The sequence below is a fragment of the Homo sapiens genome, chromosome 3, assembly GCF_000001405.40.
Source record: "Homo sapiens chromosome 3, GRCh38.p14 Primary Assembly".
In the NCBI taxonomy this organism is placed as follows: Eukaryota; Metazoa; Chordata; class Mammalia; order Primates; family Hominidae; genus Homo; species Homo sapiens.
The window spans coordinates 105,394,338-105,409,093 of NC_000003.12; the positions used below are offsets into that span (position 1 = coordinate 105,394,338).

The window sequence follows — 14,756 nt, forward strand, 5'->3', positions numbered from 1 at the left end:
ATGAGGGAAGCATAGGCATGTTGAGGTACTTATCTCCTGCAGAGCAAACACGTCATGATCTGGAAATGACTGCATTTCCTCCCACGTGCCTAGGCTTTTCTGAATCCCTGGTTCTCTTTTCAACAGGCCCATAGAAATGTCTCTGCTTCTTTGTTGTTATTTACATTTACCAAAACTGCAGGGATTTCCTTAGATGCCTTCCAGCTAGTCTGGCTTTATAAATCAGACCTATGTCCCAAAGGAATTTTAACAAGTTTTCACTATTTTTGGGAAAACACAGGACATGTAATATATTCCATAAACTACTCCTGAAAATATTTTTTTAATTTCAGAGTTAAATTGTGTTTAGTACTACACAACTCCAATTTTCTCCTGCAATCTATAGATTTATTGACATCTGCAAAATTGTTTAGGCAGAAAGGTGGTTTCTTTTTCCATTTTAATATTAACTGCAGCCATAAAACAAGCATGGCAAACCAATGACTATATTTTGGGAAATTTTTTAGATAATTCAGTAGCTTACACAAATTGCCTTTGTTTTTTCTGAGCCTATTATAGCAGACCTGTAAGGTTTGGTTGTATATATTCATTTTTTCTACTAATGTGGAAAGTAGTTGTAGTTTTATAATTGGTGAAATAAAATGCAAGCAAGGTAATAATGACTGTATTTCACGGAGTAATTTCTAACTTTATAACTGTAAGCACAGTAAATAAAGCATGTACCTCATGCCATAAACTTATTCTCAAAGTTTATCTTAAGTTAATCAACATGTATGATTTGACTTTTCATCAAATGACCGCCCTGCCAACTTATTAACAAAGGATTTCTGGTATTAAAATTTTTTGGCAGTTATTTTGGGCCTTTCAAGATCTTTCCATTAAAATATATATTTAGTGACCACAATGGAATATGTTTTTACTCTTCAGGTTGTACAATCTTCAATGCAACTTTTTCAGGAGGATGTTTCATACAGTGTCACTGTAATCCTATAAAGTATAATATGAAGATTCAAGAGTTTTTTGTCCTTGGAGAGTACACAGAAATAGAGAAATTCACAGCAACAAATGAGCTCTTATTTCTTATATCCAGAGATGTTTTCTTACTAAATTGTTATGTATGTATACTCATGTGACATATTTTTTCTATTTGATGTCAAGTGATTCTTTTACATCAGCTCTCCATTTTAGATTATTCCCATGAAAATATGCTTTTCTTTTACTATTAAGTTAAAAGCAATTAATTCAATATGACTTATGACACCATGTTATTTAGGATATCTTATTGCAATGACAGGAATCAACAGGATCTAGCTTAAGCAAATATGGGGGATATATAACGAGGGAACAAGAAGTCTCTGTAACAGAGCTATAGTAAGATATGCATCTCTATAATGAAGCTAGGACTTAGATCTCAAGAACGAATTTAAATTAAGGGCATGAAGGCTATCAGTTCTGTCTGTCTCAATTCCTCAGCTCTTCTTTCTTTTCATTTGCCTTCTCTCTTTCTGAAGACTATCCCATTTTGATTCTAAGGCCATATGGCAGCCCATGTCTCCTGGATTGAGTTCTCCTCCATTTAATAAACATAGTTTGCCTAGTTCTGAATTCACAGGGCAAGGTTTCTGATTGGCTTAGCTTGGGTCAGGTGTCCATTTAGGACCAGTCAACTAACATTGGAGGAGGGGAATTTGATAGGTTTCTGTGCAATTTCAAGAAGCCTTGGGATGTGCTAATAAAGTAGACTGGGCAAGCACAATAATAACTGCCTACTATAGCATTTTTTGCTTAATTAAATTAATATTTATTAGACACTCATCATAAGCAAGTTATAACCGTGGTGCTGAATAAATGAGTAAAATACTGTATCTATATTCAACAATTCAAGGATGTGGCTGCTGTGCAAATCATTGGAGTACAGTGAAGACAGAGAATGGAGCTTAGTGATGATCATAAGGAGAGAAATAGGAGGTTTAGGAGCTAGGAGGTATGATCTTCCTGAGAATCTTTGAAATAGAAGAGACCTGAATATCTGTGGGAGCCAAAAGGAAAGAAGGATCAGACTCAAAGGGCAAAACTGAACTTGGAAAAGCACAGGGATTGATTGGGCAATGTCTCAAATCTGGAGAAAGAGACAAAACTGAGAAACGGGACAAGATTACTAGAAACTTACTGGACTTCTTCCTAAAAGGTAGAAACAAAGGATGAACAAAAGCATTAGTACAAATTGAGTTTTTAAGTAGAATTAATTTCTAGTAGATTTAATGAAGTTTTGGACATTCTTCAGCAATATCTACTATCTAACAGTAAAAATATTGTGGAACCATAGCTTCCCTACTGCCCAGTCCTCTGTCTGTCCTTGATGTTCATGGTGTCAGCGATTATTGGGATGGTTAACTCTGCAAGTAGTATTTAGGAAAAAGTGATTGCCCTCTTAAAGGTTACCATACCTTTCCAAAGACCATAGCCTCTGGATTCATTTCTTAGCAGTTTTATAGTTCCTTTGTTAAATGTTAGCATGTGAGATAGTAATTTTTCATAAAAAGCATATGTATACTTTTAGGTGGCATGAAAGTGTTAACTATCTGTGGACTTTTATCCAATTTCAGCTTATGGTGACAGGTTTCCTATTGTAGATGAATTGAATTAATTTTTCAAAATAACCTTTTTTTGCGAGGCTATATCAATTGGTGTGCTACAGTTAAAATGTATTACTTTGCCTATTTCCCATTTTCTACTAAAGTTTATAATTCACACAAAGAAATACAATAAAGTGTGTCTCCTGAAATTGTGCTTTGTGAAATGATGAGGCCATTACTCTGCCTTTTGAGATTAATAAATTTTTCTCTTGGCATTTGTTCCCTTATCTAACTGGCAATGTGAGTTTAAGCTTTACAGATAAATATTATACTATTGTTTTAAGTTTTGATTTTTGTTTATTCCTTATAAACATTACTTTTGAAAAATAAAGTGTATCTTCTGCAAGTTGTACACATGTATATATGAAGTAAACTTAGTCAAAGTGCTTGAGTTGCTTTGTAATTCAAAATTATGTAAGTACATTATGTTATGTTGAATAACAAAAAGTGATAACTCTAAGTTTAAATGGGTGACTAAATTTAAAAAATAATTTATACCAAGTATAGAGATAATAGATTTAAACATATCAATTTAAACTTATAGCTATCACTTCTTGTTATTTAACATAACATAATATATTCATGAATAGGTAGTAGATTCCATTTTTCATGATCAAGCTTTCCTCAAATAACCCTCCCTCCAATTTTCAATAACAACGAAACACAACAAATTAACCACTCATCCAGAAATTCTAAACTATTTACGTATAATGATTGTCACATACCTTTTTAAAGAACACTTTGTTTTCCAAATATAATTTGACTAAATGCAAATAAGAACTGAACCAATAAAATGAAGCTTTTAAAAAAATTGAACTTCTGTTTGATAAATGGAATTATTTATTTGACAACACTAAAAATATGTAAAATAATGCTTTAGAATATCATTTTAAATCCACTTTTTAATAAAAGCTTTCTTAACTAATTAATTCAACAAATATTTGTTGAGTGACTACCATGGGTTAGCTACTGTGTTAAGTTGGATGCTAGGGATGCAGTGATAAAGAAAACATGGTCCTATGAAGCTTTTGTTTTGGTGGAATGGTGGTTCTTAAACTTGCACGTGCCTCTCAATCACCTGGAGAGTTTGTTAAAACATAGGTTGTTGGGCTTGACATCTACAGTTTCAGATTCAGTATTTCTGAAGTGGGGTTCCAAATTTGCATTTCTAACAAGGTCCCATATGTTGCTGATGTTGCCAGTCCTGGGACCACACTTTGAGAACAGCTGTCCTAGAGGAGGCAGTGCTGTCTATATACCAAAACTTCAATTAGCCTATGCTGTGCTGACCCATGCATGCCCACTGCAGCTCCCCCTCTTTCATTTTTTTTCAGAAGAAAAAATGCTTTCTGTAAATACAATCTGGTATGTGGATAGTGCACAAATTATATAGTTGCTTCTTAAATTACTGAGAAATTTACGAGGTCAAGTAAATATAATTTTCAGAGATAATGCTACCTTATTTAGCCTAGTGAAAATGTATCATCAGTATTATGGCCTGATTTTCAATTTAATCATCACTTTATTTTAACATAAAGCTTTTCTTTCTGATCTTTTGGTAGCCATCCAGTTTTCCATAGTCTTTTAAATGTGATGGCCAGTGGTTCATTTATTGCAATAATTAAGATGGATAGCAGCATGCCAGCTGGAATGACTACACTTGTGTTTATTGTATAAATTATTTCCTTAGTATAAAAGCCTCTTTTATGGCTTTTGCTTTGGTCATATCTTTTGTACCCTAAACCATTAACCATAGCATGTTTAGGAGAGCCATTTATAAAGAAGCTGGTAATATTTACCAATTTCTAATCACCATTAATTCATGTCTACATTTTTCTTAGCACTGGAGATTGCTTGTTGCTTTGTTCCTTCTGCCAAGAGCAAGAAAAAAAAAGTGTTCTAACCCTTCTAGGACTCATAAGCTTTTTTTTTTCCTTTTCTTCCTTTTCTTTGATTTTTTTTTACTACATTCACACTTCTTTTATTTTGTTCTACTCTCATCTCTTTTCCTTGTGAATCTTAAGTTACTTTGGTTAGTTTACTCAAAATACATAGAAATGCAGCCCCTAATGTGAATTTCTTATAAGGCATATTTGAAATTCCTTTAAAACACAGACTGCAACTGATTTTTGTCATTTTTTTAAAATGCTACTTGAGTTTGGTGGTCTTTTGCATTTCAAAAATAATTGCATTTCAGTTTTAACAGAAATTATTCAGATATAGTTCAGACACTGATCATTTCTGTATGCATCATCGTACCCAGCAAATTTCAGTAAATATTTGCTGACCTATTTTTTTTCTTTACACTTTAGTTTCAAGGAAATTGCATGCCTGTTACCTTTCTAAAAGCTAGTGCAGTGATTGTTGGTATATTTACAATACTCATCTTTCCTTTTAAACTTTGTAAGTTTGAAAGTATAAATCAAAATGTCATATTACATCAGAATATAAATTTTATTATTACCCATATATCAAATAACTAGTTAAAGCAATTCAGAGTAGTTAAGAGGGAATATTTAGTGGCAATAAATGTATATTGTTGCATATAAATACACATATTAGGCCTAGATTTATTGTCTACAATTCTTTTAATTTCTTATCAGATTTCAGTATGAAAAAAAGTGAATGAAATAAGCAAAAGACTATATCCAGTTACTGTAACTAATGCTAATTTCATAATCTCTTAATGGTTTAATGTTATATCCTGATGGTTTTATGTTTTTTGACCAATCTTTCAGGCTATCCTTTTCTGACCACTCAAACCATGAAAACCTGCCCTCCCTGGAAAATCCAAGAGCCAGTCAGTTCCCACAAAGACAACAAGAGCCACTCTGTTTGGAAAACTTTGGCTCTTTTTCAGCAGTCACCATTGGCCTTAGAATACAGAGCATTCTTACCCACTGGCTAAGATTAACTTGGTTAGCAGACAGCCTACATCCCTTCGTATAAAAACTGTTCTTAAAAAGTAGCAAACATTGTCCTAAATTTCCTTACCCCATCCCTGACTATCATCACCTACTTTCTGTCACTGACTTGTTAATACCTTTATTGTTATATACAGATTTTATAAGTTGTCCCTACCTGTTTTTAAATAATTGAGGTTATAAGCATAATAGTTGGAAGGGTTAACTACGTTGTCCTGTTAAGGCTGATAAAAGGGCATAGATGCTTTTAAACATACACAGGAAGAATGAGAAAAGCAGATAGCCCTTGTTTGGGTCATTAAGAAGATGATAAAGTATTTTTCTTATAGCATGTTTGTGGGTAAAGTATTTGAAAGCTTCTAATCTGCCATTGATAAAACAGATACTTTACTATTAGGTTTTGAAAAATGCCTTAAAAAAATCTGCTGCAAACATCATTTAATATGTCATTTAACTTATAAATAATAAGCAGAAACCTAATATCTTCATTTTTGCAGGTATGAAATATTGTAAAAGAAATGTAAAATAAATTTTAATTTTATTCATTGATACTGTGAAGGAGAACTTTAATAGACTGAGCATAATGTATCATTTGCATTTATATAATGATTTTACCACTGTCATTTTAGAATACTATAAATTTAGAAGAGTAATACAGTAATAATAAGAATTTTTAACATTTTTTAGTCTCAGGTTCAGAGATGAGTAAAAGACCCTCAGGACATACGTAAAGAGAAGAACTCTTTCTAGACAGAAGTGAAGAAATACTAAACACTCAAGTGTAAGATTCCCTGAAGATGGAATGATGGTAGTTGTGTTGGAAGTGGTGGTGGGATTTGTTGGTTGAGGGAAGAGAAGAGAAACTAATCTATTGTTCAGAGATGGGGTTAAGTAGACCAGGGATTAGATTTCTACTCAGTTACCAGCTAGTCATTTGCCGTTGAGAAAGTTACATCAGTCTTTGGATACTTTAATTCCCATCTGTAAAATGGGGAAGGTAATACCTGTTTTATAAAGTTAGTGGCATAATTAAATTTTAAAAATGTGTATTAAAGCATTTTGTACACAAAGTAGGCACTCAAGAATCGAACTATTACTAAAGACTCTTACTATTAAAGAAAAGCAAAACTGTATTATAAAGGAAAAGCAAACAAACTCTGGACAATCAGAATTATACCAGAAGTGTATTTTCCATGGAAGTTGAACCTAGATTAGTGCATAACAAGGAACTGCTACAGGCATTGATCGTTTCTTAGAAATTGGCTACTGATTCCACAAGGAACACCCACACCTTAGTAGCTGATGATCCCCTTTTGTGTGGAATAGAAATAAATGTAAGTAGACAATAAATAAAAACTGAAATTATGTACTGTCTCTGTAATTTACGTCTAGTATTTGAAAGATCACCACTGAATCTTACGAATTTTGCTGACTCCTATACACAACTACTTGGGAAGTTTCCTTAGGGGCTGAGACACAGGAGCAGCACAGTAGAGGAGCAGTACAAAATGTTCAGGAGAAGATAATAGTCAGATAGCATTGTCACAAGAAATACGCTGTATTTTCCACTAAGCTCATGGTTGCTCTCAGTGCGGTTGTTTATTCATTCATTCATCCAGTAAATTTTTATCAAGTGTTTATATGTTATCAGCATGGAACTACCAACACCTGAAAATACAATAATCACTAAGATAGATAGAGTCCTTGCCTTTGTAGAACTTGTAGTATGTCTAAAATTTGTTTTAAATCATTCTGACTCTTTTAGAAAGACTTCTTCATATTAAGTTGAAGAAGTTGAGTAAAGTTGCCACCCCCATAGTATAGCCCTTTTAATGACCCCGTCTTTCTCATTATTAAGGAATGTCCATGTGACTTAGGTGTTCTGAAGCAAAGTAAACTCCTCTAGACTAGTGGTTTTCAACCCTGACTGCACTTAGGATCATCTTGGAAGTTTTGAAAATATGAATAATTGAGTCTAACCACAGACAATGAAATAAGAATTTCTAGACTTGGGGCTCAGGCATTAGTATTGTTTAAAAGCTTTAGAAGTGATTCTAATGTGTAGCCATGATTGCAAACGACTGCTTGAAAAAAACAGAGAAGAAAAATAGCAACTTGGGGTAGTGAATGATGACAAACAGGAAGCAAAGTGAGTGATAGAAATAACAATCATGAAGCTTTACCAAACATCCCCATCATAGATGTCAAGATAAGGCTTATACAGAAAGTAAATAAAACAGCTTACTCTTAGATAATATAGTGATTTCATTTATACTCAATGGAAATATTCCATCAAGAAATGTGCCAAATCTAGATACTTTGTCATATTATTAGAAATGTCGATATTGCAACTAGAAGATGTTGGATAGGAGGCAGGACTAGCTTGTGGCTCCCACTCAGACAGACAGAGCAGTGTGTGGAGATTCATTGTGAACCATTGCTCCAAGAACTACAGCAGGAACATACCAGGAAAGCAGAGAGAATCCACAGACCCTTTGAAGGAACTGTATCACTGCTGCAGGCTCCATGAGATGCTGAAAAACTGTGAGTCAGCTTGCTTTCTCAATGGGGAGTCTCGTGGTTTGGGGCAAATTCTCAGCCCTGGTCACCTGCTGCATAGAAATAGACTCGGTGCTGTTGGTGGGGCATGGTGGGAGTGAGACCGGCCTTTAGGTGTGCAGGCTGCATGGGAGCGGGGTGTGGCCCGTGACTGCTGGCTTTCTCCCACTTCCTTGGAGACCTGTATGACTCAGCAGAGGCAGCCATAATCCCCCTTGGAATGTAACTCCATTGGAGTTATAACTGCACCCCCATCCCCCATGGCAGCCACAGCAAGCTCTGCCCAGGAGAGGCTGAGTTCAGACACGTCTATCCCTGCCCCTACCTAGTGGTCATCCTCTGCCTGCCCAGGTAGCCAAAGACAAAGATCATAATCTCCTGGGAGCCCTATAGCCCTGCCCACCGTCTGAGAAACCTGAATACTTAACCAGGTGTCCCTAGGGCAAGTTTGCATCTTCTCTATAGGATTGCAGCTGATGCGCTTTTTTTTTTTTTTTTTTTTTTTCTTAAATGGAGTTTTGCTCTTGTTGCCCAGGCTGGAGTGCAATTGTGCAATCTCAGCTCATTGCAACCTCTTCTTCCTGGGTTCAAGTGATACTCCTGCCTCAGCCTCCCAAGTAGCTGGGATTGCAGATGCCCGCCACCACGCCCAGCCAATTTTTGTATTTTCAGTAGAGACGGGGTTTCCCCATGTTGGCCAGGCTGGTCTCGAATTCCTGACCTTAGGTGATCCACCCACCTCAGCCTCCCACAGTGCCGGGATTACAGGTGTGAACCGCCACACCCAGCTCTGATGTGCTCTTGAAAGCATCACCTTCTGGCTGGAGGCCAACAAACACAAAATCAGTGCACTAAATAAAAACACAACCAGGGACCCTTATGGTGTCCACTTCACTCCCCTGATACCTTCACCGGAGCAGGCTGCGAGACCTGAAAACGGATCACATCACAAGACTCATTGCAGACACTCCCCAGTACCAGCCTAAGCTGGTAGCTCCACTGGGTTGCCAGACCTAGAAGAGCAAAAACAATCATGACGGTTTGGCTCTCAGGAAGCCCCACTCCTAGGAGAAGGGGGAGAACACCACATCAAGGGAGCACCCTGTGGGACAAAAGAATCTGAACAACAGCCCTTGAATCCCAGATCTGCCATCTGACATAGTCTACACCAACGAAAAGGAATCAGAAAAACAATTCTGGTAATACGACAAAAGAGGTTTCTTCAACACCCCAAAAAGATCATATCAGCTCACCAGCAATGGATCCAAACCAAGACAAAATTCTCTGAATTGCCAGAAAAAGAATTTAGAAGGTTGATTATTAAGCTAATCCAGGAGCCACCAGAGAAAAGTGAAGTCCAACTTAATGAAATAAAAAACATGATACAGGATATGAAAGGAAAATTCTTCAGTGAAATAGATAGCATAAATAAAAAACAATCACAACTTCTAGAAATCAAGGACACACTTAGAGAAATGCAAAATGTACTAGAAAGTATCAGCAATAGAATTGAACAAGCAGAAGACGGAACTTCAGAGCTCAAAGACAAGTCTTTTGAATTAACCCAATCTGTCAAAAACAAAGAAAAAGAATGGAAAAAAAATGAACAAAGCCTCGAAGAAGTTTGGGACTATGTTCAACATCCAAACCTAAGAATAATTGGTGATCCTGAGGAAGAAGAGAAATCTAAAAGTATTGAAAACATATTTGAGGGAATAATTAAGGAAAACTTCCCTGGAATTGCTAGAGATCTAGACATCCAAAGATGAGAAGCTCAAAGAACACCTGGGAAATTCGTTGCAAAAAGATCATTGACTAGGCATGTAGTCATCGTTATCTAGTCAAGACAAAAGAAAGAATCTTAAGAGCTGTGAGGCAAAAGCATCAGGTAACCTACAAAGGAAAACCTATCAGATTAACAGCACATTTCTCAGCAGAAACCCTACAAGGTAGAAGGGATTGGGGTCCTATTTTTAGCCTCCTAAACAAAACAATTATCAGCCAAGAATTTTGTATCCAGTGAAACTAAGCTTCATAAATGAAGGAAAGATACAGTTGTTTCCAGACAAACAAATGCTAAGAGAATTTGCCACTACCAAGCCAGCACTACAAAAACTGCTAAAAGGAGCTCTAAATCCTGAAACAAATCCTCAATATACACAAAATAGAACCTCCCTAAAGCATAAATCTCACAGGACCTATATAACAATAACACAATGAAAAAAAAAACAAGGTATTTAGGAAAAAAAATAGCACGATGAATAGAATGGTACCTCATATCTCAATACTAACATTGAATGTAAATGACCTAAATGCTCCACTTAAAAGATGCAGAATGACAGAATGGATAAGAAGTCACCAACCAAGTTTCTGCTATCTTCAGGAGACTCACCTAACACATAATGATTCACATAAACTTATGATAAAGGTGTGGAAAAAGATATTCCGCAAATGGACGCTAAAAGCAAGCAGGATTAGCTGTTCTTATGTCAGACGAAACAAACTTTAAAGCAACAGCAGTTAAAAAAGACAAAGAGGGGGCCCAGTGGGGTGGCTCATACCTGTAATCCCAACACTTTGGGAGACCGAGGCAGGCAGACCACTTGAGGTCGGGAATTCGAGACCAGCCTGACCAACATGGAGAAACCTTGTCTCTACTAAAAATACAAAATTAGCTGGGCGTGGTGGCACATGCCTGTAATCCCAGCTACTTGGCAGGCTAAGGCAGGAGAATCGCTTGAACCTGGGAGGTGGAGGTTGCAGTGAACCAAGATCATACTATTGCACTCCAGCCTGGACAACAAGAGCAAAACTTCGTCTCAAAAAAAAAAAAAAAAAAAAAAAAAAAGACAAAGAGGGACATTATATAATGATAAAAGGACTAGACCAACAGGAAAATACCCCAATTCTAAATACATATGCACCTAAGAGTTCTCAAATTTATAAAACAATTACTACCAGACCTAAGAAATGAGATCGATGACAACACAATAATAGTGACGGACTTTAATACTCCACTGACAGCACCAGACAGGTCATCAAGACAGAACGTCAACAAAGACACAATGGACTTAAACTATACTTTATAACAAATGGACTTAACAGATATTTACAGAACATTCTACCCAACAACTGCAGAATATACATTCTATTCATCAGCACATGGAACATTCTCCAAGACAGATGATATAATAGGCCACAAAACAAGTCTCAGTAAATTTAAGAAAACCAAAATTATATCATGTACTCTCTCAGACCACAGTGGAGTAAAATTGGAAATCAATTCCAAAGGGAACCCTCAAAGCCATGCAAATACATGGAAATTAAATAACTTGCTCCTCCATGATCATTGCATCAACAATAAAATCAAGATGGAAATTTAAAAATTCATTTAATTGAATGATAATAGTGACACTGTTCCCGGACCAAACTGAGGGTTGGGCTGTTATTTCTCACAGCCCCATAATGAGATGCAGATAAACTGGGGAGGAAGAGAGTTTTTATTTCTGTAACCGGTTACAGGGAGAAGACCTGGAAATTATCACTAGACCAATTCAAAATTATAAAGTTTTCCAGAGCTTATATACTTTCTAGGCTATATGTCTATGTGTAAGTGTGCATTCGCCTAAAGACACAGTGATCAACTTCTTTTAATCTGTAACTAAGGTCTGAGTCCTGAAGACCTTGCTCTGGAGCCTCAGTAAATGTCTTACTTAATCTACATGGGTCCAGATACTGGGGTAATTACCCTTATCTTGTCTCCTGCTAAATCATGGAGGTTTGAGGAGTTCTTCAGACCCCCAATAAACTTGTTTGTGGAGGTCTGGGAAGTTTCTTTAGACCCACAATAAAACTTTAGTCCTAAATGGGTCCTATTAAGAATTCCTTCGTTATTTTGTCATGCTTTAAGGCCCAGGAAAGGCCTAGGCAAAACTCCTGATGGGCTTTTTGTTACATCCCAGCCATTGTATAAGGGCACTGGCTTTTAATATTTAACTTAACCACTCAGTCAATACTGAAACAGCTGTTAGTGAGAGCTGACCTACCACAACACAACCTATCAAAACCTCCGGGAAACAGCAAAAGTGGTGCTAAGAGGAAAGTTCATAGCATTAAATGCCTACATTGGAAAGTTTGAAAAAGCACAAATAGACAATCTAAAGTCACACCTTATGGAACTGGAGGAACAAAAACAATCCAAATTCAAACTCAGCCGAAGAAAAGAAATAACTAAGATCAGAACACAACTAAATGAAATTTAAACGACAACAACAACAAAAAACAATAAAAAGATAAATGAAAAAAAAAAACTGGTTCTTTGAAAAGGTAAATAAAACTGATAGATCATTAGCAAGATTAACCAAGAAAAGGAGACAGAAAATCCAAATAAGCTCAATTACAAATGAAACGGGAGATATTGCAACTGACACCACAGAAATACAAAAGGTCATTCAAGACGACTATGAACACCTTTACGCACATAAACTAGAAAATGTAGAGGAGACGAATAAATTCCTGGAAACATACAACCCTCCTATATTAAACCAGGAAGATACAGAATCTCTGAACAGACCAATAACAAGCAACAAGACTGAAATGGTAATAAAAAGAAAATGCCAACAAAAAAAAGTCCAGGACCAGATGGATTCACAGCTGAATTCTATTAGACATTCAAAGAATTGGCACCAATCCTAATGACACTATTCCAAAAGATAGAGAAAGAGGGAATCCTCCCTAAATCCTTCTGTGAAGTCACTATCACCCTAATACCAAAACCAGAGAAGGACATAACAACAACAGCAACAACAACAAAAAAAAAACAACAGATCAGTATCCCTAATGAACATAGATGCAAAAATCCTAAACAAAATGCTAGCAAACCAATTCCAACAGCATATCAAAAAGATAGTCCACCAAGATTAAGTGGGTTTCATACCAGGGATGCAGGGATTGTTTAACATACATAAGTCAATAGATGCGATACACCACATAAACAGAATTAACAACAAAAATCACATGATCATCTCAATAGATGCAGAAAAGGCATTTGACAAAATTCAGTATCCCTTTATTATTAAAGCCCTCAGCAAAATTGGCAGAGAAGGGATATACCTTAAGGTAATGAAAGCCATCTATGACAAACCCACAGCCAACATCATACTGAATGGGAAAAGTTGAAAGCATTCCCCCAGATAACTGGAACAAGATAAGGATGCCCACTTTCACCACTTCTTTTCAACACAATACTGGAAGTCCTATTCAGAGCAATCAGATAAGAGAAAGAAATAAAGGGCATCCGAAGAGGAAGTCAAACTGTCACTGTGTGCTGATGATATGGTTATATATCTAGAAAATCCTAAAGACTTATTAAGATCCTAGAACTGGTAAATGAATTCAGCAAAGTTTCAGGACACAAAATTAATGTACACAAATCAGTAGCTCTGCTATATACTAACAGTGACTAGGCTGAGAATCAAATCAAGAACTCAACCTGATTTACAATAGCTGCAAAAAATAAAATAAAATGCTTAAGAATATACCTAACTAAGGACGTGAAAGACCTTACAAAGAAAACTACAAAACACTGCTGAAAGAAATAATACATGACACAAACAAATGAAAACACACCCCATGCTCATGGTTGGGTAGAAACAATATGGTGAAAATGACCATACTGCCAAAAGCAATTTACAAATTCAATGCAATTCCCATCAAAAATACCACCATTATTCTTCACAGAACTAGAAAAAAAAAACTTAAAAGTCATATGAAACAAAAAAAGAGCCCACATAGCCAAAGCAAAAAGAACAAATCTGGAGGCATCACATTACCCTACTTCAAACTGTACTATAAGGCCATAGTCACCAAAACAGCATGATACGGGTATAAAAATAGGCACATAGAACAATGGAACAGAATAGAAAACCCAGAAATAAACCCAAATATTTACATCCAACTGATCTTTGACAGAGCAAACAAAAACATAAGGTGGGGAAAGGACACCCTATTCAACAAATGGTGCTGGGATAATTGGCAAGCCACATGTGGAAGAATGAAACTGGATTCTCCTCTTACCTTATACAAAAATCAACTCAAGATGGATCAAAGACTTAAATCTAAGACCTGAATCTATACAGATTCTACAAGGTAACATAAGAAAAACCTCTCTAGACATTGAGTTAGGCAAAGACATCAAGACCAAGAATCCAAAAGCAAATGCAACAAAAACAAAGGTAAATAGTTGGTACTTAATTAAACTAAAAAGCTTTTGCACAGCAAAAGGAACAGTCAGCAGAGTAAACAGACAACCCACTGAGTAGGAGAAACTCTTCACAATCTGTACATCTGACAAAGGACTAATATCCAGAATCTACAAAGAATTCAAATAAATCAGCAAGAAAAAAAACAATTCCATCAAAAAGCGGGCTAAGGAGATGAATAGATAATTCTCAAAAGAAGATGTACAATTGACCAATGAGCATAAGGAAAAAAGCTCAACATCACTAATTATCAGGGAAATGCAAATCAAAACCACAGTGCAGTACCACCTCACTCCTGAAGAATGACCATAATCAAAAAATTAAAAAATAATTGATGTTGGAATGGATGCAGTGAAAAGGGAACAGTTTTATGCTGT

At 36.0% G+C, this 14,756-nt stretch overlaps 1 protein-coding gene across 4 annotated transcripts in view, besides 1 other annotated feature; it reads left to right on the top strand.

Moving 5' to 3' along the window:
- The window catches only part of ALCAM (activated leukocyte cell adhesion molecule), a 209,992-nt gene that overhangs the window by 27,429 nt on the left and 167,807 nt on the right, over positions 1–14,756 (top strand). The window lies entirely within an intron of this gene.
- Positions 7,682–8,881: an enhancer, noted in NCBI's record as "MED14-independent group 3 enhancer chr3:105120863-105122062 (GRCh37/hg19 assembly coordinates)". NCBI's record gives its function as "activates an origin of replication core promoter dependent on BRD2, BRD4, P300/CBP and CDK7 cofactors, and independent of MED14, by STARR-seq in HCT116 cells {active_cell/tissue: HCT116}" and the evidence as "EXISTENCE:reporter gene assay evidence [ECO:0000049][PMID:35650434]".